Source organism: Homo sapiens, chromosome 5, assembly GCF_000001405.40.
Source record: "Homo sapiens chromosome 5, GRCh38.p14 Primary Assembly".
Lineage (NCBI taxonomy): Eukaryota > Metazoa > Chordata > Mammalia > Primates > Hominidae > Homo > Homo sapiens.
Window position 1 is genome coordinate 8,054,169 of NC_000005.10, and position 27,544 is coordinate 8,081,712.

General features: G+C 40.1%; 2 long non-coding RNA genes across 2 annotated transcripts, besides 1 other annotated feature; one reads left to right on the plus strand and one right to left on the minus strand.

Moving 5' to 3' along the window:
* Positions 1-1,193: 1,193 nt before the first annotated feature.
* On the minus strand, positions 1,194-3,316 carry LOC124900937 (uncharacterized). The gene is made up of 2 exons (XR_007058684.1): positions 3,229-3,316; positions 1,194-3,137 (listed from the first exon to the last, which is right to left on the minus strand). It is a non-coding gene; the product is annotated as an uncharacterized LOC124900937 (long non-coding RNA).
* Positions 6,692-7,310: an enhancer, noted in NCBI's record as "H3K27ac-H3K4me1 hESC enhancer chr5:8060973-8061591 (GRCh37/hg19 assembly coordinates)". NCBI's record gives its function as "activates a minimal SCP1, AML or CMV promoter by ChIP-STARR-seq in naive H9 embryonic stem cells {active_cell/tissue: H9 hESC(naive)}" and the evidence as "EXISTENCE:reporter gene assay evidence [ECO:0000049][PMID:30033119]".
* LOC102723339 (uncharacterized) lies at positions 6,904-20,458 on the plus strand. Its single transcript, XR_001742599.2, has 3 exons — positions 6,904-6,990; positions 15,827-15,878; positions 20,372-20,458. It is a non-coding gene; the product is annotated as an uncharacterized LOC102723339 (long non-coding RNA).
* Positions 20,459-27,544: the final 7,086 nt, after the last annotated feature.

Sequence of the window (27,544 nt, forward strand, 5' to 3'; positions counted from 1 at the left end):
TCCTATGGAGTTGGATGTGTGTGTCGGGGTTGTGTGTCGGGAGCTTTTTCGCTCTTCAGTCATTGATTTGAATGAAGATTTTTGAATTATTGAGCTTCACATCTGGCCCTGATATTGAACCATCTATCTTGTGTGGATCAGAATATGCTTCTTACACATCAATCCAGTTTGCAAGAATCATCTACAGCGAATGATTTGGTTCTAGGCAAATATGGTTTATGCTCTTAAAAAATACAGTGGCTCACTATAAAGTAATAAAATTGAAACAATAATAATTTTAGTTTTCCCCTATTAGTTTAAAATGTAGGTGGTGTCTAGGGGTGAGAAAGGTATTTCATTTCTTAAAAGCCCTAAGAAAGTTTATTATATTATAGAGAAGGATATACAGGAGAAAGAGCCAGATCTGTTTCTCACATATTAAGCAGTTACATTTTTTACCCTAATAAAAATGTCTAACATTTTTTGCTTGTGACATAGATAAATACATGATGATTTTACAAAGACGTTTACATCACAGAGAATCACAAAAAAGAAACAAATCACTTGAAATATCAGTGTTCAGTACGCAGAAAAATTTAATGATCTTTCAGATATTTACATATACATGTATGGACATGTATATATCTAAATATACCATTTATAAATGCACATCAAATATTTAATAATGTATAGAATACATACACATATAAAAAATAAATGTGTATGGGTTAAGAAACAGAGCACATATAAATAAGTGGACACAAAATGGGACATGTGTCTTTCTCAATGTATTTAAAAAACAATTCAACATTAATTTTCAACAATTTAAACTCAAAATTCTACTTTATCTTTACAAACAGAAGACATTTTTACTGGAATAAGAGTTTAAATATTTTGTATTATTTGGAATTACTACCTACAATTACTCTATTTTTAAATTTCTTTTAGAGCAGTTGGAACATCTAAGCCTTGTCCCGTTCCCCTTCCACTAAGGAATCTTTGCTTCTTAGCTAAGAAATGCAACAGCAAATTTAAGAGCAGCAATTTTTCCTCAGGAGCAATGTTTTTTTCTGAGTGCAGGCAGGATGTGATATCCTCCTACAGTCCTCAAATGTACCTTTTTGTTTCAGTGTATAGAGAGCCGATATTATGTTTTCCAAAATAATATAAAGCCAGTGAATATATAAAGAAACTAAAATGGCTGTGCAACATTATGGGCAATATAAGAAGTACTTTTATTTTTATTTCTACTTAAATAAATGTTGTTCTGTTTAGTGGAGGTCTAATTTATTATTCACTGATGGTAATTAGCTTGCTTATTTTCCAGCTTCATGTCTCCTGGCTTCATGTTGTTGATAAATCCGAATTGAATTTTCCTTTGTTTTCTTTTCTAGCACTTGTGCTTTAAATCTCCAGCCATTCCAGAAACAACATCTTTTCGACCTTTCAGGTGCTTTGCTAAAACACTTTAGTTCATCTATATTCTATGAGTCCCAAATGGACCGTTTCATAAGTCCAACTTACTTTTTATTGATTGGTTTTAACATTTATTAAAAACCAACAACTTGCTTTGTTTTCAATGAATAACAAATCAAAACCAGCTTAAACTGTGATACTTATTCTCAGCTCCATTGAAGAAGATGCATTTCTTCCTGGATTCAAGGCGTGATCATTACAAAGCAATACAAAAATTTGATACTCTGAATATACTTGACCTAATAATGAAAAACACACAGAATATCAATGTGGAATCTGTTTTATCTTCTTTCCCTCTTAATGCTTTGTAGCATATGCCTAACACTACAGAATCTTTGGGTGCTTTTCTGAGGCTGAAGGAAAACTAGGACATGCTCGTGGGTGTTTGCATAGAAACATTAAGAGATGCCTTCTACAGATGACAAAGATGATTTTCCAGAGGTGTCACGAATATCTGGAATGTCACTCCCCTTGTCCCCTGACACGCACATTCTTCAGTTGAGAGGTTTTAGACACCTTGGGTCTCTATTTGAGTCGCTAGGAAAAGCTCAAGGCAAGAGTCTCTTTGCAGATGCAGTTCTTTTTAGAAATGAAAATATCTTGGCCACTGTATATGTTAGAAATGACTGTAAAATGCTTTTCACAGTACTACCAGACATATTCTCTTTGGTTCTGTCTTTAATCTTAAAACTGGGAGATCACAAAAGTGAAAATCCATAAAGAAACAAATCATAGACAGTACTTCCAATTTTTTCAGTCATTTCAACGTCTTTTTTGAGAAGTGAAGAACAGGTACTATTTTCATTTCTTAGAAAGGAAAATGTCACAGTGAGGTCACAGTTTAGGAGTGACAAGTTTCCCTGTCTCAGCTTCGTCTCTTCTCCCTGTAGGTTGTCTCCCCACAGAACAGCAGCCGCTGCCACTGCAGAGTGCCACAGAATGGACCAAAGACAAAGGCCAAGGTGGAGGATAAAATCGTCTCCACCCCTGCTTGCCTGGGGCCTCAGCTGAGCATCATTGTTGGAATAACTCAACCAATGTTGATGTGATACCACTGGCAGCTCTTCCTTGGGTCTGAAAAATCTGTGGCAAACAAGCTTCCTAACACGAACTTATCTCCTCAGTGCTCACGGTTAAAACAAGTTTTCCCAAAAAATTAATGAGTATTTCCATAAGGGATGAAAATATTTTAAAAACTTGAATCACACTTCAAGACAAAAGCCTGAAGATGGAGCTTTGAGTCCTGACTCCCTGCCTGAGGTTCTCATCTGTGGAATGTTCCAGCAGTTGCATCCATCTTCCTGTTTTCTGTATGGTTGCTTGTCCCCTAAGTGAACACATTTACCTCTTCTACAGAAAGTCCTGGATTGAAAGAAGCTGTTTTGGGGGACCTGAGCTGTCACCACTTGTTTCCTCAGAGAGATTTGGCAGAAGGGGTGGCTGTGTAGCCCTGTCCTCCCCCTGCTCCTCAGCAAAACCTTCTGGGAGAGGCTTTCCCCAGGGAAGGAGGAGGAATGCTCTTCCCGCGAGGGTGGCAAACGGCAGCCGAGCCTCCTGGTTAGAGCTTCCAACAAACTCTCAGTGCCCAACTGTGGGGGATTTCTTCAAGGCAAAACAGAAACAGTTAATTCAGAAATCTCTGTGCTTTTATGCTGATTTTGTTACTTAAGTTGCTTTAATACCTGTATGAAAGCAGAATATAAAATTAGCAAATGGACTTTTCTAAATCATTTCATTTTCTTTCAAAAATAACTTAAAAAATTTTTTTTTTACCTGAAGTGATCAACATTGTACGTTCTGAAAGTGTAAAGGGACTGAAAAGACAGGCTGAAAAATAAAGTAAGAAGAAGATTGTACAACATTTCTAGCTGCCTTTTTTTCCTTTGATAAGGGAACCCATGCAGTCAGCTAAGAGCTGCCACCAAGATCAAGGCCCTGCAGGGCACCGATGAGCAGGATCACCGGGAGCGCTGTGTTTACAGGGATTTCATTTTTCATTTTGAAGGGTTGCCACGTCACTTTCCCAAGTTTTGCGGGGCAGAGTGAGGCTTCATCAAGACATGCATCCATGGACTGGGCGAAATTCCAGTGTCCATTATTTCCTGGGGAAAGCGTGTAAGAGGCTCTCTCTATCGCTCTTCTTACTTCTGCATCCCCCAGAACACACATACACAGTCACAGTCACACATGTTTGCACCAAACACGGCCTCACTCTCACAAGACACTCACGAAGGTACGTTGACAGTCTCACAGGGTCACAAACATGCACTAGAAATCTGACACACACACACACACATCCAATCTCTCTCTGACACACACACACTATCTCACACACACATGCTCCTCTGCTCTGCTGAGTCATCAGTCTTGGATCTCAGCCTCAGCACGTGTGGGGCCTGCCCTGTGGGAGGCTGTTGAACACAGAGGGAAGCTGAGGTTGCACTGTCCACCTCCTCATTACCATAATGATTGCGTTCAGCATCCTTCATCAGCACAGGAGCACTAAGGGTTGGAGAGGACGTGCATCACCTTTACTCGCACAGCTGCTCACATCGGGCACTTGAGACGTGTATTTGCTGGGACACTTGGGAGTGAAATGGCTTGTGGAATTTAGTCTCGTGTCAGTCTTCAGCTTTAAGTTTCAAGCGATCCTGCTCTGGGAATAAATATTGAGTACGACGTAGAAAACAGCTTTTCTTCAAGGACCTCTGAAAGCCATGTAAGCACCATTCTTTGATAAACATTCTCATCCCAACTGATGGAGGGAAAAGCCAGGAACAGGGTCCCAGGGAGGCCAAAGGGGTTCCCGACTGGGAATGAGAAGCCATCCCTTCAGGACTCTGCTGTGCCCCGACAGCAGGCACAGGAGGCGTGGTCCCTGCCTTTCCCCCACCTCACCTGCCCTTTCCCGCTGGAGTAAATGGGAAGAGAGCTCTGCTCAAGCCTCAGCCTCCAGGACTCTCCATCATACCAGCTGCCTCAGGCAAATTAAGCACAGCAAATGCTGCTCTGTTCAGGGCTCCTCCCTGTTTATTGCAAGACGGTGGTTCTCAAACCTGACCTTCTGGGACACTTAACGATTACCCTTGACTTTTGAATCTCTCCATGATATCTGATAACAGTCGAGTGTGGATTTCTTGGTGAAGTGAGGTCTCTCCCTCCACCTTTGCCCATGGAATTGAGTGACGGTCACCCCTCATTGACTCTGCGGAGAGCTGGTGCCTCCTACAGCAGAACAAGCAGGAAATAGCGCAGCAGAGAGCATCTTACAAGCCAGAGGGGCAGCAGAGGCAGCACGGGGCAGAGCTGGGCGGTGAGGAAACTGAGCATCAGCTGCTGGAGCAGCTGCCGTGAGGGAACTGGCTGGGTTTATCTCAAGAGGCTGTGCTGCTGGGGCCGACCATTGGTGGGAGGTCCCATGCTCACCGGGACATAAGGCCGCCTGTGCACGAACCGTGTGGCAGCTGGCGTCCTTTGTTTCAACAAACAGAACTGCATTTCCAACTAAAAAACCCAAGTGTGAAATTTGTAGACACCGTGTATCAGAGGGAAGAACTTGAGAAGATTAACTAAACTTCTGGAACCTCAACCGCTCTCCCTTGTGCACCTCACGCCTCGATGAGATGATGAAATGTGATACCGCGCATATCGATGGTGGGAAAAATGTTACGTGTCATTCAGAGCATTTGTCAGACGTTTATTAAAGTCTCGTTTCAGGTTTGGAGGGTACTATTTAGAAGTCTTAATTTCCGAATTGGATCCTATAATTATCTCAGGGTTTAATAACACGTCAAAAGCATAGCAGAGAAGGGAAAAAGAGTATAATTTTGCCTGCTCATATGAGGAACTATTTATTGATTTCCCTTGGGGTCCTGAGCAGAAGGAGCTGTGTTAAGAAATACTTTGGCTCGAAGTACCCAGCTGTGTAAGTGGTTTTGGGTGTGGACTCTTACGGCCATGGTCCTAAATGATTCAAATTGTAAGGTGGCAGGCAGAAGTCACACTTTTCTGATAAATGTTAAACTTAGTTACCTTCATTATATCAACATCATCAAAATCAATTGTGTGTCTGTTTGTTTATTGTGGTGGAGGCTGCTCTAGAGCTGCAGCCACATCATGGGATCTCTGCTACCCCAGCTCTCCCGCACATTCCAGGCTTAGAGACACATGGAATAAGTGAATGATGAACAAGTGAAATCAGCAACATTCAGCCCAATCATGATCAACTGGTCTCTCATCTGAAAGCCGCAAAGGTCAGAGATCTGCTGGTCTAAACCCTGTTTTGTTGTGAGGATGACATCCCAGTGGATGGATTTACCAGCCAAGGCCATCACTTTACTGAGTGTCTAGAAACCGCATCTGGAGGCCCCTAGGGCAGTGCTGTGTCCCCCTTTCACCCACTACACCCTTCTGTGAATCCTGGCAACCTTCAAAAATGTACCTGAGGTGAAATAATGAGACAAAGGGCCTTAGTTCTAAAGCAATCAGAAGCAGTGAGTTTGTGTGTTCTGATCACCTCTCCCTGGCGCTGTGAACAGTCCCCGTTCTTACAGCACGAGTGCCCTGCTAGCCTTAGATTTCCTCCTGAGGCTGCTGGGCCTGAGCTGGATGTGGGGTTTTGTCCGAATGTGCCATCCCAGTCAGGTGCTTGATGCTTGATGCTCTGGCTAAGGAATGAAGGTGTTAGGACCCTGAAGGGAAGTTGGGACCCCAGTACATCCTTCCCTGGAGGTGACATAAAGTGTCCTCTTCACTGAGCACAGACAGGACTTCTGTAAAAAGAGAAGTGAGCCCCATGAGCTCTGTAAAAAGAGAAGTGAGCTGCCCGCCCTGCCTTCTCGGCTTTCCTTTGTCTTTCAGATGGAGATGCGCTGACCTGCCCCAATACCTATTGTTGTTTGTTAAATTACTCCAAGATAGTTATAGTCAATGGCAAACACCCACTTAGAAGCACAAATCATGTCAGATGTTCAGGACCAGCACAAACAATCAATCAAGTAAACAGCACCTTCCTTGAATATGTGGCAGGTGTGTGAGGATTTTATGAACCTGTTCTGCATTTCCAAATCCACCCTGAGGCTTCTCCCAGGACACAGTCCTGTGGATCAGCCTGTACTCGGGCGGTTTTACCTTCTGTGTCTCTCTGTCACAGTAGTCTTGTCCTAGTGCTCATCACTGCACGTTCCCAGCTCCAGCAAGTGGCCAGGCTTTTCCCTCCACAGCCAAAGGCCCGATGGCCCAGCCCCCAGGTGGCTGGTGGCCCTTCCATGGCTGAGGTCACACACCCAGCATCGCATCCTGCCCTTCTCGGGGCCTTGGGCCCCTTCGGCTCTTCTCCAGGGATTGCACTTGCTCCTGCTGCCCACGGCGGTTTCCTTCCTGTGATTCCACTCGGAGGGGGCAGTTTTCTTTCCTGGCTTCAACCATCACAGAGCTGCTTTGTGTTCACCGGCAGCTGCCACGCTTCCCTGAAAAGGCAGCTTCCGTTCTGCTGGAGATGAACTGATTTGCCTGGCAGCCAACTTAAACAAGGAGGTACTTTGAGACCATTTTTGGAATCTGTCTTTTTCTCTTGATATTCAGCTTCGTAGTTGTGGGACTCTAAATACTTGTGGGGTTTAACACAAGGCCTAGGGGCTTTTGAGGATTTCAAAGTGATTCCTGTATCCTGTTATGACCACAAAACAAGGTCACAGGGGAGAACAGGCCATGCATTGTGACATTTTGCACTGGGCAGCATCTGTTACCATGTCCCCAGTGGATGCCTTCCTTATCTGTAATGAAGGCAAAGTCACACTTCTGGTTTCCAAATAAGTAAGCTGACCGCTTCTTTGATTGCTGGGAATCTTCAAGGCTCTCATTGACTCTGAGCATAAGCTTGGCCCCTCTTTTCCTTGTGATAACACAATCCTTCCTCTTATTTCCACCTACTGTTAATTTTAATCTATAGTACCAGAGAGATACTTGCATCATTTAGTCCTTTACTGGGGTAGAGTTGATAATTGTGCTTTCTTTAAAAGAAATAGCAATGCTCAGTGCCCGTGTTTCCCCCTTCCTCTTCAATCCGATATTAACACGTATTACAGAAACTAAATGAGTTCCCTGTTTAAATTACATTGATATTCAGTTACTATGTGGCATCCCCTCAATAGAGGTCAGCCAGCTTCTCCCTCATCACTGCTCCCGTCTGCTGTGTCACAAACTTCCCTCTAGTTAAAAGAAGTAGGACTCAAATCCCCACACCCCTTACACACCCTCACTGTGGTAGCTTTCTTCTTGTCCACCACCCTTTACTCTGTGAATGCTATCCTCCTGGTAGCCAGTTATCCAGACGGCCTGGTGAACTGAGCCTCCTGCCCTTGGGCAGTCCCTTCCCACACTGAGTGGCATTGCCTGAGTGGTCAAGAGAATGCAGTGGGAATGACGCAGTGCAACTTCTTGGATGTAGCTTGTACCTGCAACCCCACAAGGTTCCTTGTGAAGCTTGAGGTGTAAGGTCTACCCTGAGGAGAAGGAGGGCACAGATTCTGAAAGAGGGCCTTTTAAAATGAAGGACTTATTTTCCCTGATGCATGCTGTATTACATTTTCTGACATGATGAAGGGACTGGGCTTGAGACCATTTAGTTATAGAAACATAATGTTGCACATTTCTTTTTGTATGCCTGAGGTCGTGCCCACTACAATAAATACTATTTACAAAATTTTGAATTTTTCAGCTTACGTGACAATTTTCGATTCTGCAGAACTCCACTGACATAGTTAGAGCTCAATATCAGGTTTCCTGAATCAAAGTTAAATGCATTAAAAAAATTCTGTTTATAGGAGCACTTCCCAAGAGGGCAAATGGGAGGTATACCTTGGCCCTTTGTGCTCTCAGATTATTTTTTCAAAACCTGCCTTGAGAATGCTGAGGAAGGCCTTGACATTTAGCTGTTCCAAATTATCCCATTGTTGTTCTGGACACTTATTTGCTAGTAATATTGGAGAGATCAGTGCTGTGGTTTCTGCTGCAAACACTTAGAATATGGTATCATCCTCAAAGTTAAAAAAAATAAATATTTGTGCTTTGTTTTACTTTTCATTGGCTTTCACTCAAGGTCATCAAGCAGCTGCAGTTCTTTCTCCTAGATGGGTTTATCCAGGAAGAGACAGTCCTGGAGGGAAGCAGGATGGACAGAGGAGCTGGCGGGTGCTGGACGGAGTGCATGTCTTACCCAGGGCGTTGGACCGGGCTGACACCAGCCTTCGGCTTCAAGCCCACCTCTGCCTCCCACAGTGGGATCCAGTGATGAATACCCGCCCTGGAAAGAAATTATTCACAATATTCACATTGAAGAGGGAGAGGAATGAGAAACACTGAAACGTAAAATCCACTCCAGCCCAGATTGTTTTTTTAAATGTACATTGTAAATTCAGGACAAATAAGTGGACAAAAACGTATGTATATATTATGCCTTTTCAAGATAGTGAGGCAACTCATTGGGCATTAAGCAGCCCTAAATATGGGTTAAATCCTTTAGTCCATTTGAAAGTTTCTTTTTAAACCTGGGCAGCCTAAAAACCAGTAGCTTTATGATTTCTAGGTAACGGGTCTACTGTCTACTGAAAAATGGAGGGAAATATGCTATTATGTAATTATGCAGTGAAAATAGTGAACCATTCACTATTCTAGAAGAATAGGGCCCATTACCTCTCTCACAGCGTACTCTTTGGTTTATTGTTTCTTTGTGTACGTCTCTGACTTGTCCTCTTGTTTCTGTCCTTATTGCTTTGGTATCTGACCTCCATCCTTTCTCACTTAAAGAAGGAGGGTCAGAGGTATTAGGGTAGAATTTCATCTCATTCCCTCTGTATTAGTCCATTTTCATGCTGCTATGAAGAAATGCCCGAGACTGGGTAATTTATAAAGAAAAAGAAGTTGAATGGACTCACAGTACCACATGGCTAGGGAGGCCTCACAATCATGGCAAAAGGTGAAGGAGAAGCAAAAACCACATCTTACATGGCAGCAGGCAAGAGAGTGTCTGCAGGGGAACTGCCCTTTATAAAACTATCAGATTTCATGAGACTTATTCACTATCATGAGAACAGCATGGGAAAGACCTGCTCCCATGATTCAGTGATCTCCCACTGGGTTCTTCCCATGACATATGGGAATTATGGGAGCTACAATTCAAGATGAAATTTGGATGGAGACACAGCCAAACCATATCACCCCCCTTAATCTCACTTTCCTTGATTATATCTTCCATTCAAGGTCAGACTGATATTTTCTAAACTCATATCTGACCTTGAAATATCCACTTAAAATATTCAGGTGATTCCTCAGAAATACAGAAAATGTGCACATTTTGTGATGTGGCTTCAGGCCGCGTTGCTGCAGGACTCACCCCAACATTTGGTCGACTCCTTCCATTCTCTTCTCCACCTTTAATTCCTCATGCTCCATCCACAGGAGGGTCTTTTCCTCAAAATGCTGAGCATGTTCCAACCTTTGAGCTTGCTCTCTGCTGTTCCTCCTTTCTAAAAACTCTTTATCCCCTTTTCTGTAAGTCAAATGTCCTAAGTGCAAACACTATCTTCTTGCAAAGCCTTAAAGCCCCAGCTTTTTTGGGTAAAGTCAGTCTCCTATTCCCAGGCTGTGTGAACAAAAACCTAGGCTAGTCTGTATGCAGAAGACCATCATATTAGTCCCTCAAGGCCCAAGGTGAACATACCTACCCAGGGAGCCCTTCTAACTTCCAGACATATATGTCTACTCCATAATATTCTCTAAAAACCTCTGTTTAAGCACATTTAATGACCTCCTGTGACTAGATCTGTCTCCCAGACACTGCCAATGGACTCTTGAAGGCAAGTAACTTGTCCTATTCTATAATATCACCTGCCACAAACAGGTGCTTAATAGACGTCTGTTGAGCTGTTTTTTTTATTTTAATAACTCTCCATCATCAGATGATTATTCTGTACATATTTGCTATAGGGCAATTCTATTGTATTATTGTAGTATAACATTTTACCAGGTCATAGTCATGGGAGGCTTGGCCAAGCTGGAGAATTTGCTTTCTTGGAAGTCCACTCACATGGCTAACAGGCAGCCTTAGTTCCTCTCCACTGAGGACCTGCCACAGAGCTATTTGAGTAGCCTCATATCATGGATGTTAATTTCTTCTAGACTAAGCAATTAAAAAGCCCAAGGCAGAAGCTATAGTGACTTTTATGATGTAGCCTCAAAAATTATGTACTTTCCTGTTCACAGAATTCTCCACACGGGGTAGCCCTGATTCTATGTGTGAGGGAAATATACAGGACATAAATCCTAGAAGGTAGCAAGTATTGGAGGCCATCTGGGAGCTGGTTTTCACATCACACCCTCTGCCCACCCCTCCCCACCCCCCAGGAATGTTGCTCCTCTATCTGCAACATACGCTCATCACCCTCGAAGTTCCCCAAAGTCTCAACCCTTTATAGCATCAGCTTGAAATCCTAAATCTCATCATCTGCCTCCCGTTCAGGTGTGGATGAGGCTCTCCAGGTGTCCCCTGAGTAAATTCCTTGAGTATAACACCTCTCCATCTGCAGACCTGTGAGCTCAAGAGGAGAGTTTATCTTCTCTTCCCTCCCCCACCACTCTTCCGACATACTATGGTAGAAAAAGTACAGAATAACTTCTATGGACCCTCATTCAAAAATGGATAAAATGGTTGGCACACATAACTCACTGTTAAATAATAATTCTGAAATCTAACAAGCTCATTGAGGGACACAGTCAGAATTTAAATACTGAAAACTAGCTCCTGAAACTAGACTTTTAATTACTACCCCATGCCATCTCTTAAGACTTTACACGGCTTTGTAAATTTTTATTGGAGTCCCAAACCTTGAAAATTCTTTGCAATTATTTGTTACTATTGCCTTTTCTTTTAATACCACTGTCACTGCCATATTTTATGGAAGCTCCATTTTCAGACACAGGCTTCAGATTTACCTCTGTTGCATTTTAATTGGCCAGGAAGACTGTTTCAGACAATATTCAGCAGAAACCTCCAGTGAGCCAAGAGAATTGGCTATAAGCTAACTTAAAAAGTATTTTGAGAACATTAATGTCACCTCCTGATCAACCCCAGACAATGGCTATTGAGCAAGAAGAGGGTTCTCAGTATAACCATAGGAGCTATGTCATATCATATGCATTATGTTGCTTAAAAATTTGCTTGTTTTTGCAAGCCTTCTTTTCAGAATTCCTTGCACAACCTTAATGAAGATAGTTGTTATGAAAAATCTGGAGGAAGAGACATTAGACTTGTTCAGATTGACTGTATTAGACAGACATATGAATGCTGATCAAAAGTCAACATGCTGGATTTCATGCAGCAAGTTCCCAGCAGAGTTCTCTAGGGATGGAATAAATAATCTAAACAGGTAGTTATTATCTGTTCACTAGGTTTAAGCATAAGCTGGATAAGAATTTGGTTTGGATTGACTGATTAATTAAACAAATATTTACTAAGTGCTTTAAGCATGCCAGAACCTGTATTGATTGCCGGGGATTTAGCAGTAAACCAAACTGACTGAAATCTATCATGGGTACTAAATTTTAGTGGAGAAAAAAACAAATTCTAATTAGAAGATACTAAACATAAAAAATACTATCTATGGTATGTATCATATGTTATATATGTAACCTATATATTTGACATATATACCATATATGATATATTATATGGATATATTACACATATATAATGCATATATAATATAATATATAGTAAATGTAAAATACATATATCATATATATTACATATTTCCTGGTACATGTAATGGAAAGAACGTGGTATAAGGGTGACAGAGAGTACGACAAAAGCAGGAGTCACCCTTTCATATCATGCAGAGAAGACCTCACTCAAAGAGTGGCCATTGGGCACCTTCATGCATCAAATCATAAAGAGATAGTTGTGTCCTGGCAGTGGACAGGGCAAGTATGAAACCTGTGAGGGAGGAGCGTGCTTGCTGTTTCCAAAAAGAGCAAGGAGGTCAGTGCGCCTGGGGAAAGGGAAGCCCAGGGCAGGAGGATGGTACCTAACAGCTGAAAGGAACAGAAAGCCATGAAGGCCATTATAGTGACATTGTTTTTGACTTTGAGCAAGATGTGAAGACTTGGAAGGTACTGGGAAGAAGTGTGTGGTGATCTGACTTACTAGTGAAGAGGATGACGCCAGCTGCTGTGTCAAGAGCAGCACTCAAGGAACAAATGTAGCAGAAGACCAGTTCCTATACTACTGCCATGATCCACAAGAAAGCAAGAGTAGGGGCTTGGAGAAGGTGCTGGTGGTGGGGTTCTTGGATGTATTCACCATCTAGGACCAAAAGTATTTGCTGAAGTGTTGCAAGTAAGTGTGAGAGAGAGCAGACAAGGATTATTCCAGGGTTTTTAGCTCAACTGACTGAAAAGAGGCTTGTCTTTTACTGAGATAGGAGAGAATTCTGGAGTAATTATTTTGTGTGTGTGTGTGTGTGTGTGTGTGTGTGTATTGGGGGGATCAGGGTTTCTGCTTCGAACATGTTATGCTTTTCAGATGCCCGTTATACCTATCAGTACAGATACTCAGAAGATAGTGAGATTTACAATTGGGTGTTCCATGGAGAGAACCAGGCTTGAGATACATTTATTGGTCATCAGATTATAGATAGTAGTTAAAGCCTTGGGTGGGAATGAGGTCTCCGATGGGTGAGTGTAGAAAGAAAAGTAAGAGGCTCCAGGGAAGCCCTCAAGGATTTGAAGACTTAGAGGCTGAGATGAGAAGGAACCGGAAATGAGGAGTTTTTCCATTAAGATATAACAAAAGAAATGCAGGTTGATGTGTATCCTGCAAGACAAGGGAAAATGCATTTTGGGGAAAGAATGAATGATAGTTAAATAAAGTATAATTAAGTAAGAGCAAATTTCATATTAGACTACTGAATTTAGCAACTGGGAGCCCATTGGTGATCTTGGAAAGAGCAGATTTGATAAAGAACAGGTGGCATCAAAAACTTGACTTTGGTGGGTTCAGAAGAGTGGGAAAGGAAGGCTGGAGGCAGAGGAATGATCTGGTACCTAGGGAGGAATGTGGAGCCAGGAGACAGTTATATATTTTTAAATATGCATGAAATCAGAGATTGTTGATATTCTAATGGAGGTGATCCATATATGGAGGAACATTGATGAAGTAGGAGAGAAAGGAGGGAAGTGCTGGAACAATGTCCATGGTTAGGAAAGAGGAAATGGGCTGCAGCTTACTTGCAGGAGGATTTGCCTTGGGACAGTTCATCTGTGGTTCCAGGAGAGAAGGCAGAGAAGCCAGCACATAGGGCACAGTTGCACATGGGTGGGAAGATATGGCGGTGGAACTTTGTGGAAGCTCTCTTCAAATTGCTTTTCTTTTCTCAGTGGAAGGAAAGCAGGTCTTCCACTGAGAGCCAGGATATGGGGAGGAAGAGCCATTCAAGAAAAGAGAGAAGGGTGTAAGTAGGCAAATGGAAGAAAGAAATTTACAAGGATTACCAGGCAGCATGACAAGCCACTCGATATTAGAAGTTATGACTTCAAAATGAGAACAGTCAGCTTGTTTTGTTTGTTTTTGCCCAGGCACATTTAGCCACACTGGTGCAGAGTTGTTTTTCAGTTCCTGTTGTGGTTGCTGTTTATCTTTTGAGGAAGCATGTACAGAGACACCTGGAAGATGGATGAAAATCTTGATTAAAGTGAAAAATCCCAGATTTTAAGATGAATAACAGAGGATCAGAGGGCATGAGACAACTGTTGTTAGACAGTGAAGAGATAGGGGGAGAACTGGACTTGAGGTCCTTGTAAGGAAAAGGATTTTTGGAGTGGGGCTAGAGAGGGAGTATGGTAGAAATCTGGGAGGGGTAGATGTTAGAGATCAGCCTTCCCAAAATTGTGATTAGGAAGCTATTGCAGCAGTTGGTAACAAGATCAAGAGTTTGCCCATCCAAGTGAGTGTTGAGTTAGTTTGGAGCAGAATGTGGTTGGAGAAGAGAACAAAGAATTGACTGAAATATCAGTTTATATGGAAAAATTCATCTTCCTAGATATTGAACAGTGATGGCAGGGGTGGTGTTGGGGAGAGATATTATGAGTTGTTTTCAGCCAAGAGTTAATTGTCAAATAGTAAAGAGCTAACACACGGGGGTTGGTAGAAGACAATAACAGAATGGGTATCATGCAGTGTATTCTGATATCTGAGATGCAAAGTTAAGGAGGCCCAGAAGGGAGGGAGGGTCTTGATTTGGAAACAGTAAAGAGCAACAAAGAACAGGAAGACACTCCTTTAAATCCAGGCTCAGCCATATGATGTGTTGATACGGAGAGGTCTAGAGAGATCTTATCTAGGGCTGTCTTTAGAATACGTAGCCTATAAAGTAAGCTATTCATTCAAAGGTGTGGATATAGGTATATGCACACACATATATGCACACACACGAGAATGAATAGTATAAATTCATTTTTTTCTAGTTAAGATGTTTTTTATCTGTACACAGAATTTGTATTTAATCCCATTGTTTAGGCTTCTATATTTATTCTGAAATCTCTACAGTAAATGCTCAATTAATCTGTTGATTGGTTGATGTAAGCAGAACCTAAAATCGAGTGGAAAACTTAATGCTATATAGTATCATGAAACAATTGAAGTTAAATATGATTTTGAGAGAATTAACAGGATTTTACACCTGGAATGGAGTAATAAATATGCAAAACTTTCTAATTAAAAAAAAACTTTCTAATTTTTAGAGCTTTTGTAAAAACAGAATGAACTATCTTATGCGACTGAGAGTGTTTTGTTTTTTGTTTTTTTTTCCAACGGACATGAAATGAACACTCCCTTAAGGACACTAGAAAGAGAATCCAGGCAAGACAAGAATGTGAACAATTAGTTGTTCTCCAAGAATTGAAGCAAGGTCAGTTTTTCCAAAGGTCCTTGGCCTTTGATCCATCACAGGCATATTTTCAGAAGTCCAAATGTCTCCCGCCCTCTATCTCTAGGTGCCCATGTTATTTCCTTGGAAGCAGAGAAGCCTCCGATGTAAAGAGCTCAGGTCTTTCTGGATCACTGAGGGTTTGTGGTACTTCTCTCATCTCACATGCCTTTTAGACCATTTGTACATGTTATTTAGACTATTTTTGGTGTGTAACTAGGCTAAGAACAAGGCCATTCAACCAAAAATATTTTCCTGAAGTGACATTGTCTTTGTGTGTGTTCCGGTGTTTGAGGGAGATTTTAAAATTTCTTTATTTTCTGAAGAGTTCAGGGACTGTTGAACCTAACAGACAATAACAGGAACCTCATTTTTGTGCTATTCATTTACAGACTTGTCAGAAGTTGATGTGCAGCAGAGAGTAGCAACTCTGACAATAAAAGGGTAAGAGAGTCTCTTTTTATTAAAGCTGAGATTCAGAAGACATTTATAGAAAATTCAGTGTCTTTTGAAAATGTGGCATAGTGGATAATGACTATTACTTTTTGCTTTACAATGTATGTAGAAAACTAGAAATTAAAAAAAAAAGAGTTATAGGAGAGAAAAGCTACTAAAAATATCCAGTAAGAAAATACACAATAAGCCTGGTCTATTCTGCTGACCTTTTCTGGTCAGTTTTCACATAATTTCTCCACTTGGATTCTGGAGAAAGTTATTCGTACAGTGACGTCATAGGTCATGGTTGTAGGAGGAAGTGCAGCGACTGGGCACTGGATATTATCAATTTCAGCTGGACCCTGCTAAGTTCAGACACAAAACATTGTTGCTTTCCTTGTTTCCTATTATGTGAAATGAGGATGTTAGTTTAGATATATGTGAATCAAATAAAATATAATGTGAACCACACTTTAAGAATTTGGTTGCCACATTAAAAGAATTAAAAGGAAATAGGTTCAATTAATTTTAATAATATATTTTATTCAGCTCAATATATCCAAGACATTATCATTTCAACATGTAACCGATATAAGAATAAGTATTTCCTGGCTAACATGGTGAAACCCCATCTCTACTAAAAACACAAAAACTTAGCCAGGCATGGTGGTGGGCCCCTGTAGTCCCAGCTACTTGGGAGGCTGAGGCAGGAGAATGGCGTGAACCCGGGAGGCGGAGCTTGCAGTGAGCCGAGATTGTGCCACTGCACTCCAGCCTGGGCGACAGAGCGAGACTCCGTCTCAAAATAATAATAATAATAATAATAATAATAAGTAGTAGTAAGTGGATAGTTTCTATTCCTTTGTCTGTACGGAGTCCTGAAAATCTGGTTGATGTCTACGCTTACAGCACATCTCAATTGAGACCAACCGCATTTTAAGTACTCAGTGACCACAGGATGCTAGTGGCCACCATGTTGGATGTCTATAGACAGTGTCCTGGCTCCTTTCTGGTTTGATATTGTGGGCATCTAAGTAAAATAATTATAATAGTTTAGTAGCCCTAATTATATGTCAAATATTATTCTTAACATTAAATACATTAACCCATTTAATCCTAGTGATAACATGAGAAGATGGATACTATTTGTTGTGCCCATCTTAGAGATGACAAAGCTGAGGCACAGTGAGGTTAAGCAAGTTGTCCAAGGTCACATCCAGAGGTGATGAGCAGAGATTTCAACCCTTGGGCAGCTCTAGAGGTTGAGAGAGTCCTGCATGGGGACTCTCTGCAGTTCTGGATTCTGTCACATGGGGTGAGGTGTAAGAAACCATGGCTAACACGGTGAAATCCCATCTCTACTAAAAAAAAAAAAAAATGCAAAAAATTAGCTGGGCATGGTGGCGGGCGCCTGTAGTCCCAGCTACTCGGGAGGCTAAGGCAGTAGAATGGTGTGAACCCGGGAGGTGGAGCTTGCAGTGAGCCGAGATCGCGCCACTGCACTCCAGCCTGGGCGACAGAGCGAGACTCTGAATCAAAAAAAAAAAAAAAAAAAAAAAAAAGAAAAGAAAGAAAGTGTGGCCAGACTTACATCTCAGGGTATGAGGGTCATTACTTTTGTCACTTCTTCCTGAGGCTCTGGACTGGTTCTCAGCCATTAGTAAAATGACTTGCCGCACACCTGCCGGAGTCCCAAGGGGCCACATAGATCACAAGTGAGTGCTTTTTCCTTGTTCAACTCCTGAGTCTTTTCATGAAGAGGTAAGTTATGAGAACATAACTCCTTGAAAATCACCCTCTCCTTCTAATTTCAATGTTTTTCTCTCCATTGAAATTGAAGTTGTAGTTCCTGATGCCTCCCCCACTCATTGTCCTTTTGCAAAAATTGGACAGCACTGACCAGTGAAGAGAAAAGATTTATTAATTTTAACCTTCTAATTTGAGGGTTAATAGCTGCAGTCTTGCTGGACCTGCATTCCTCCATGAAGCCTGATTTTCAATTAACCAGAAAGTCTTTTCATTAGAACAGTGATATTCCCTGAATGGCCACAGGCTACCATGATAGTTGATTATGTTGGCACTGGAAGTGACACAGTCTTCTTCTGGGCTGCCTTTTCTTTCAACTGAGTATGTAGTACTCCTACGTCATGAAGTTATTCTGGAGTCACGTAGGGGTTGACTTCGGGGTAAGATTGGGTCCAAGGTTTTGGTTCTCTTAGGTTCCACAGGAAGTTAGGCCAGCGCTTGGATGGGCTCCCTGGGAGGTCTGGCTATGATTCAGCTCTCTATAAAAGGACACAGAAAGTAGAAGGTTGGCTGGCCACAACTCATGAATTTATCCAAAACTGGAGATGACAGAATGTGAATGGAGGTGAGAGGAGGTGAGTTCAAAAGGAAAAAGAAAAAAAAAGAAAGGAAGAACCAAGGAGAAAAACAATATTTATTAAAGCTGTAATAAATATGGCACAAATATTTATTAACATTTATGAATATTCAAGGATTAATATGTATAAAATGTTGAGAAAATGAGCTTACAAAGACTCAAGAAATCACTAAGTCTAAAATCTCTTTTAATTCCAAATCTTCTATTGTAAACCTTGAACCTCTTGCTTTCTTTTCTGCTGAAGGCCCCACCCAGAGTAGACCCTAGAAAGAGGTTTTGTGCTCCTCCAAACATCTTTTCCCTCATTCTTCAACCCAGCCCAGCATGCAGCCTTTATAGCTCATGGAGCCATATTTATTTGCTTAATTTGGATGATCTCCTGTAATTTGCCAAGAGTTTCATGAACATCTATGAACCCTGCAGGTCTTGCTATGTCTTGTTGACCCAGGATCTGGCACAGGCTCATCTTAGGGACCCAAAAAAGAAACCTGCTGATTATGGACCAGGTGAACAATGACAAGAAGGGCTATTACCTGCGGAAGTTTCAGAAGTCTAAGAAAGGTTTCCAGGCTTCAGCCATCCTATCAGTTCTGTGTAAGAAACTGAATTGACAACACATGTTTTTATCTTTCAAAAAATTTTATTTTGTTTTCTGTTTGTATTAGTCCATTTTTTACTCTGCTATAAAGAACTTCCCAAGACTGGGTAGTTTATAAAGGAAAGACATTTAATTGACTCACCATTGCACATGGCTGGGAAGGCCCCAGGAAACGTACAATCATGGGGGAAGGTGAGAGAGAAGCAAAGGCATTTCTTATATGGCGGCAGGTGAGAGAGCGCATACAAGCAAAGAGGGAAGAGCCCCTCATAAAGCCATCAGATCTTGTGAAAACTCACTCACTATCATGAGAACAGCTGGGGGAAACTGCTCCCATGATCCAATAACCTCCCACCAGGTCCTACCCTCAACACATGGGGATTACAAAAATTAGTAGCATTTCTATACACCAATAACATTCAAGTTGAGAGCCAAAACAAGAACACAATCCCATTTACAACAGCCACAATTCAGGATTACAATTCAATATGAGATTCGGATAGGGATACAGAGTCAAACCATATCAGTATTTTAAAGAAAGCATAATACTACACAATTAAAAAGAATGAAAAATTTCAAAAATAATATAAACTTTTTAATAAAAGTGCATTCTAACTGTAGTTACATTGGGTTTAATTTTAAATGTTGCTAAATAGAAAGGAAATTGTTTAAAGCCATAAATTATCTTTCCAGTAAGCCCCATGTGATTTATTTTTGGGGTGTGCATGTATCTTACTTGGTGCAGAATGTTGTAGATTACTTGCTCTGTTTCAAACGATAATTTCTGAAGACATTCGTATCATGAGCCTAAACAGATCATTTTGTGTAATAATATACGGTTTCCTGTAGAAAGTTAGTTTTTGTTACTGTTGTTGTTTTGGTTTTTTTTTTTTGAGACGAGTCTTGCTCTGTCGCCAGGATGGAGTGCAGTAGCGCGATCTCGGCTCACTGCAACCTCCACCTCCTGGGTTCAAGTGCTTCTCCTGCCTCAGCCTCCCCAGTAGCTGGGAACAACAGGCATGCACCACCATGCCCAGCTAACTTTTGTGTTTTTTAGTAGAGACGGGGTTTCGCCACGTTGGCCAGGATGGTCTCGATTTTCTGACTTTGTGATCTACCCACCTTGGCCTCCCAACGTGCTGGGATTACAGGCGTGAGCCACCATACCCAGTGAGAACGTTTTTAAAATACTTATGCTGTTATTATAAGTATTTCTTTTTTATGATATACTTCTTTTACATAATTGTTATGAAGAAGAACATTGCATTCAACAAAATAAAAATATGGCTGAATGTAGAAAAAGTGTTATGATAAAAAATACTTATAAATTTATGTAAGCCAATATGTTTGTTCAGTTTAGAATTGTGAATTAATTTTTGTGGGGTATTTCCCAAAGAATACTATGTATAGTAGAATGATAATCCCACTTTATATCTTATTTCATAATATAATATTTGTGATATTAATTTAAGAATTGCAGGGATTTTCACATTGATCTTTCTATATTCACTTTCTTCATAGGGTGAATAAATTATTATCCTTTAACCTCAATCTCAGTATCAGGTAAAGTACCATATTAATTTAATTTCCTGTTTCTTATTATTTTAATGTGGCAATAAGTTATTTTGATTGTTGGTTAATGAAAGCAAACAAATTTTGAAAGTTTGCATTTTGTTTCCTACATAAAGAAGCAACTCAAAGACTCAGTCAAAACTATTATATTTGTTATCTTCTACAGCCATTTATACTCTAACAAAAATTTAAGATAATGTATAAGAAATTAATTTTTAATTTTATAAAAATACCTCAATGATCCCCTGATAAGCTTTCCTGAAATGTCTATGTTCATGTAAAATATGCTTAAGGATGAACTGCAATGAATTATTTTAGTTATCTTCTACAGTAATTGTAGCTACAATTTATATGCACATTTCAAACTTTCACTTATTTACAAAAATTTTTCTGTATTTCTAAATCTGAGACTATTACAAGTGAGCTAGTTTAATTCAATATAATGTACACTATTTCCCTTCACTGAAAATATGATTCTATACCTGGAAAACCCTAAAGACTCTGCCAAAAGGCTCCTCCTGGAACTGGTAAACAACTTCAGTAAAGTTTCAGAATATAAAATCGGTGTACAAAAATCAGTAGCATTTCTATACACCAATAATATTCAAGTTGAGAGCCAAAACAAGAACATAATCCCATTTACAACAGCCACAAAGAAAATAAAATACCTAGGACTATAGCTAACCAAGGAGGTGAAAGATCTCTACAAGGAGAACTACAAACCACTGCTCAAAGAAATCAGAGATGACACAAATGGAAAAACATTGATACTCATGAATAGGAAGAACAATATTGTTAAAATGGCCATACTGCCCAAAGCAATCTACAGATTCAACACTATTCCTACCAAACCACCACCATCATTTTTTACAGATTTAGATAAAAAAAATTATAAAATTCATATGGAACTGAAAAAGAGCCTGAACAGAGAAAGCAATTGAAAGCATCAATAACAAAGCTGGAGGCCTCATGTTACTTTACTTCAAACTATAAGTAACCAAAACAGTATGATACTGGTACAAAAATAAACACATAGACCAATGGAACAGGATAGAAAACCCAGAAATGAGCCATCTGATCTTTGACAAAGTTGACAGAAATAAGCAATGAAGAAAGGGCTCCCTATTCAATGAATGGTGCTAGGATAACTCCCTAGCCATATGCAAGAGCATGAAACCGACTGACTGTTATATCTTGACCCATGCATTTCCTTACATCACTTTGCAAAATGTGAGTACCATGAGGAGAGGTATCTTTGCTGTTTTTTTCTACAGGATACTGGCTTGTCCTAGGTTCCTAGAAGAGTGCTTGGAACATGCTTGGGCCTCAATAGCCATTTGTTGAATGAATGAGTGACAGTATGGGAGAAGCATCTAGGCTGTATGGCATCTGTGCACTTGCTTCCTTCTCTCCATTTCCCATCCTGAATCCTAGCCACAATCCTTACAATTTTAAATTGACTTCTCTCACCTTTGCACAACACAGCAAACTAATATCAAGCTCTTGTTTTCATTTATAATGACATATCACTTAGAATCCCCCAAAGAGAAAGATTATTCCCCAAATCAAAATTTCATTCTTTTCATCAGTGAACCTACAAAATAATTTGCTCAATTATTCTTGTATTATTTTATATTGTATCAATAAATGCTTGTGAAATTTTTTCTCTTGTTAGTACTTATAGAATTTTTAAAATTTTGACTCTTGGCCTAAAAAACCTATAATATTTAATGTCTGGTTCTTGACAGAAAAATTTGCCACCCCCAGTATAGACAAACATACAAATTTGTGAAATGCAGTTAAACAAATCTTAGAGGAGTGCTATCACTTTAAATGCTTATATTAGAAAGGAAAGCTTTCAGAATAATAAATCAAGTTTAACCTTAAAAAGCTAGAAAAAGGAAAGGTTTCAGAATAATAAATCAAGTTTTAACCTTAAAAAGCTAGAAAAAGAAGAGCAAACTAAGGCCAATAATAGTATAGAGATGAAAATAACAGAATTTAGGTTTGAACACAGTATTCAAAATGGGTGGTGAATTTAAAAAAGTATTTATACCTACACAATTTACAAAATTGTGGATAATGTAGCCACAGTGTAAACTCCAGTTGATAAGAAACAATTCCCAAGAATGCAGAAGTGTACTGTGAAAATAATTTATAATTAAAATTCTAGGTGATTTTAAATTTGACACATAATTTTACATATTTTTGGTGTCCATGTGATATTTCAATATATTATATGCATACAATGCACAGTGATCAAATCAGGGTAATTGAGATATTCATTACCTCATACATTTATCATTTCTTTGTGTTGGAAACATTCAAAATCCTCTCTTCTAGATATTTTGAAATATGTGATAAATTATTGTTAACCAGTCACCCTACTACTGTGCAATAGAATACCAGAGCTTATTTCTCCTATGTAACTGTAACTTTATACACATTGACCAATCTCTCCCTACCTACCCCCTGCCCCGGCCCCCAGCCTCTAGAAACTATTTTTCTACTCTCTACTTCTATGAGATTATATTTTTTAGTTTCCATAAATAGAGAGATCATGCAGTATTTGTCTTTCTGTGCCTGGCTTATTTCACTTAACATACTCTCCTCCAGGTTCATCCATGTTGCTGTAAATGACAGGATCTCATTCTTATTTTAGGGCTAAATAATATTTTGCTGTGTATATATACCACATTTTCTTTATCCATTCATCCATTCATAGACATTTATTACTAGAAGAAATCATAGGCAAATGCTCTAAGTGATTGTTTAAAACATATGAGAAATAAGAAATTAACAAACATGAACATGTGATGGATTTGTCTTGTTCAAGTTAGAGAGGCTGCACACAAAGTTTAATTATTGATGTTAATTAAAAAGTGTGTTTAAATGGTTTTTCCCTAAATGTGAGTCAAATGGAAGACTAGAAAAGGCTAAATGTTATTTTTTACAATGAATTTGAATGGGATAGATTTGTTGCCAGTTTTGGACAAAATAAAAACGCAGCTAAAAGCCACTTACAAGGACATATACCAAAAATACAATGACACAATATATGCTGAGTATGTTAGAAGCAGTCGACTAATCTTTTTATATAGATCACCTCATTTAATCCTCAAAATGACATTATGAACTAAGCACAATTACTGACCCATGAGTTTGACTCCAGAGACTATACTTTCAATAACTCTCCTTTGTAAAAAGTAAACGCATGGTAAAAAAAATCTATCAGGAATAGGTTAATACAAAGATAGCCTGGCAGTTGTAAAATCAAAACTCCAGCTGAAAAATATTAAATGGGACAAATGGAGGTGAAAATTACAGTCCACGAAGAACACAGATAATTCATTCTATCACTACCAATAGAGTTCCTAAATACTTCAAACAAAAAGTATGTGGCATGGCATACTAGGAGAAATTGATAATCCAATTTGAATGTATAACACTCAACTTTTAGAATTCAAAGATATAATGTGAGAAAACCCACAAAGATATAACTACAAGAATGGGTTTGGTATAATGGATACAGGGAAAGATGAAGGTCCATAATGAATGATTAACCCCTTATATTCAACAAAGTAGATACATGACCACATAGAAAAGTGTGCAAAGTAAAAATAAGCACATCAACAAAATGTTAATATATTTATAAAACAATGCCTTATCTCACAGTAATCAGGGATGCAAATTATAAAATCAATAATATATGTAGTATTTATATATTATATATGCATATATATATAGATATCAATCACCTTGGCAAAAAATAAACTGATAATATGAAGACAAAGCAGTGAAGAAATGGGAACTTACATTTGTGAATAGCATTTCATGGACCATTTAAAGAACAATGCAGTAATGCCTATCAAATATCGAGTGTGCATATCATGTGAACAGCACTTTTACTTTTGTTATCCATCACGCCATGTGCCCTAAAGGCATATGTACAAAACGTCCTTTGCAACCTTCTTTGTATTAATGATAAATTGAAAACAACCTGCATATTGGTCAATAAGAGGATGGTTAAGAATTTAAGTATATCCACATTATGTTGTACCACACAGACATTAAAGGGAATGAGATATAGCTGAATGCAGTCTTATGCATTACTATGACTGTAAAGTGATTTTATTGTTATAAAATAAGATATATGACATTTATTTTTTTGTATATATATATATAGACTATCTATTCGTATGAATATATGCCTGCTGTTAAGAGTGGTTGCTCTGGGGGAAGAGAAGGCAAAACACTAGCTGTGTGAGGTGGAGAGAGTGAAGGAGCAATTTCTGTTTTTACTTCAGTTCTGGATGGTTCTATTGTTTTACAAAGAGCAAGACTTCAAAAAATCCTTTGAAAGTAAAATAAAGCATGGGTGTATTCCAAAGCCCAGAAAATATCGTTTGAGCAAGCAAATATTGTTTAATGTTAACCTTTGATTTTGTATTTTTTGAGAACTTATATCTTCGATATTTGTAAAGGCTTTAACAATATTAGGAATTTAAAAATCTATTCACCACTAAATTAACTTTTTAAGTTACATTTTTAATGCTTTTGGATACTGGATTATTATTTACTTTGTACTTTTGAGGATTTATTTTCAATTTTACTAAGTAAAGTCCCTGTCCTATTTTTTTAGTCATGTGTTTGGCAACAAAATTATGAAGTAAGTTGTCATGGTAATAAGATAAATACTCCGAAGAGGATGAGCCAAGTTAGACTTGTTCCTGTATTGCTGTGGATATTCTGTATTGTTGTTTTGCTGTGCATATTCTGCATTGCTGTGGATATTCTGCGTTGTCGTGTTGCTGTGGGTATTCTGTATTGCTGTGGGTATTCTGTATTGCTGTGGATATTCTGTATTGTTGTTTTGCTGTGGATATTCTGTATTGCTGTGGGTATTCTGTATTGCTGTGGATATTCTGTATTGTTGTGGATATTCTGTATTGTTGTTTTGCTGTGCATATTCTGCATTGCTGTGGATATTCTGCATTGTCGTATTGCTGTGGGTATTCTGTATTGCTGTGGATATTCTGTATTGCTGTGGGTATTCTGTATTGCTGTGGATATTCTGTATTGCTGTGGATATTCTGTATTGCTGTGGATATTCTGTATTGTTGTTTTGCTGTGGATATTCTGTATTGCTGTGGATATTCTGTATTGCTGTGGATATTCTGTATTGTTGTGGATATTCTGTATTGCTGTGGGTATTCTGTATTGTTGTTTTGCTGTGGATATTCTGTATTGCTGTGGGTATTCTATATTGCTGTGGATATTCTGTATTGTTGTGGATATTCTGTATTGTTGTTTTGCTGTGGATATTCTGTATTGCTGTGGGTATTCTGTATTGTTGTTTTGCTGTGGATATTCTGTATTGCTGTGGATATTCTGTATTGCTGTGGATATTCTGTATTGTTGTTTTGCTGTGGATATTCTGTTTTGCTGTGGATATTCTGTATTGCTGTGGATATTCTGTATTGTTGTATTTCTGTGCTTATTCTATATTACTGTGGATATTCTGTATTGTGGTATTGTTGTGGATATTCTGTGTTGCTGTATTGCTGTGGATATTGAGTGCAGAGTTTACCTTAGCACATACAGCAGCCCTTCCACAAGTGACTCGCCCTGGGGCACATTCACCCAAGCAGGCTGTAGAGAATGGTTGGTTACATCCTCCCCTGGATTGAAAGACACCCTCCGAGTGGTGCTTACCACACCTCATGGTGTAGATATTCGTCCCTTAGTTAAACTCTTCCAGACTTTCTTTCAGTTTGCCTGAGGTCACCAAGCTGGCACCTGGGCAGAGAGGTTTAACATTATCAGCTTCAAACACCGGCCCTGCCAGCATCCTCGTCCAGGCACCTCTGTCTAGCATTGCAGGCACCACCTCACCCGAGGGTGTGATGAGCATCATTCATCATTCTTCCTTTTGCTCATGTATTTGCTCATTCACCACACCTCTAGCGATACCCACCATGTACTTGACATGGCCCTGAGTTCGGGGAATTGGCATGCAGTCCCAGGCCCCACTGGAAGCTCCGGTCCTCAGGAGTCAGACACAAGAGTGGGTTTACACCTGCATCTTGTGCATCTCAACACTCTGGGGACCTTATAGTTTTGGATCAAGAGCCTTGGAAGGAGAAAGCATCTGCAGCCCCACATCCCACCCTGAGTGCAGAGACCAGAGACACATACAGACCCCAGGGTTCTGGGGATTCAGCCTGCATTGTCCCCACTGTCATGGAACCGAAAACCTAAGTCTCCAACTTTGCTTTTTGTCTCCAAATTGTGTGCTCTGCTGGGTCAATCGGTTCCTCCTTGTGCCCTGGGTCTGTCAGGCTTCCAGGCACCATGGGCTCTGCACCCTGCGGGCTCCTGCAGAAAACTTTCTCCTTCAGCTCCACAGGGGGGTAGTAGGGGACCTAATTTGCTTCACTGGGGGTGCCTGTCTTGTTTTTCTACCGTTATTCCAGCACTGACAGAGAGTCACTGTGTTTTCCATAATTAGTCCCACAGAGGCATCTCTTCCCATTCTGTTCTCTCAATTTGTTTATTTCATGGCTTATTATTATACAGAGATATTATGCAGGAGCACAGGAAAGAGCATGCATCCCAGGCTGGGTCCGTGGCCCCACTTTGCTGGAGAGGGTTGCCCCGAGATAGAAAGTGGAGAAGTGGGAGGAAGGAATTCCAGGCCAAGGGAGCAGAGTGCACAGAGTGTGCAGGGGAGGGCATGGGGCTGGCAGGTGGGGCCAGAGGAGTTAGGCAGGCTCAGATGACCAGGGTACTGGTGTTCTTCTAAACAGCCGTCACACTGCAGGTGTATGCAAAGCAGCTCTCTAATTTCCAACACACACACAAAAAAACAGTGGATGGTCAGACACGACACTGAGATAATAGCTTCAGCTAAGATTGATTATTCTGTGCCACTTAAAGAGGGGATAATGACTTGGGGCAAGGAAGGCAGAGGGATTACAGGTAGCGAGGGCAGGGGAGTGGAGCACAGGGGGCCCCCTGGGGCAGCTGGGAGTTCAATCCATGGCAGGCAGCCTGGCTTCAGGCAGCACGGTGGGGCCTCCACACAGAGAGACCGGTGGAGGGGCTGGGACCCAGGGCAGC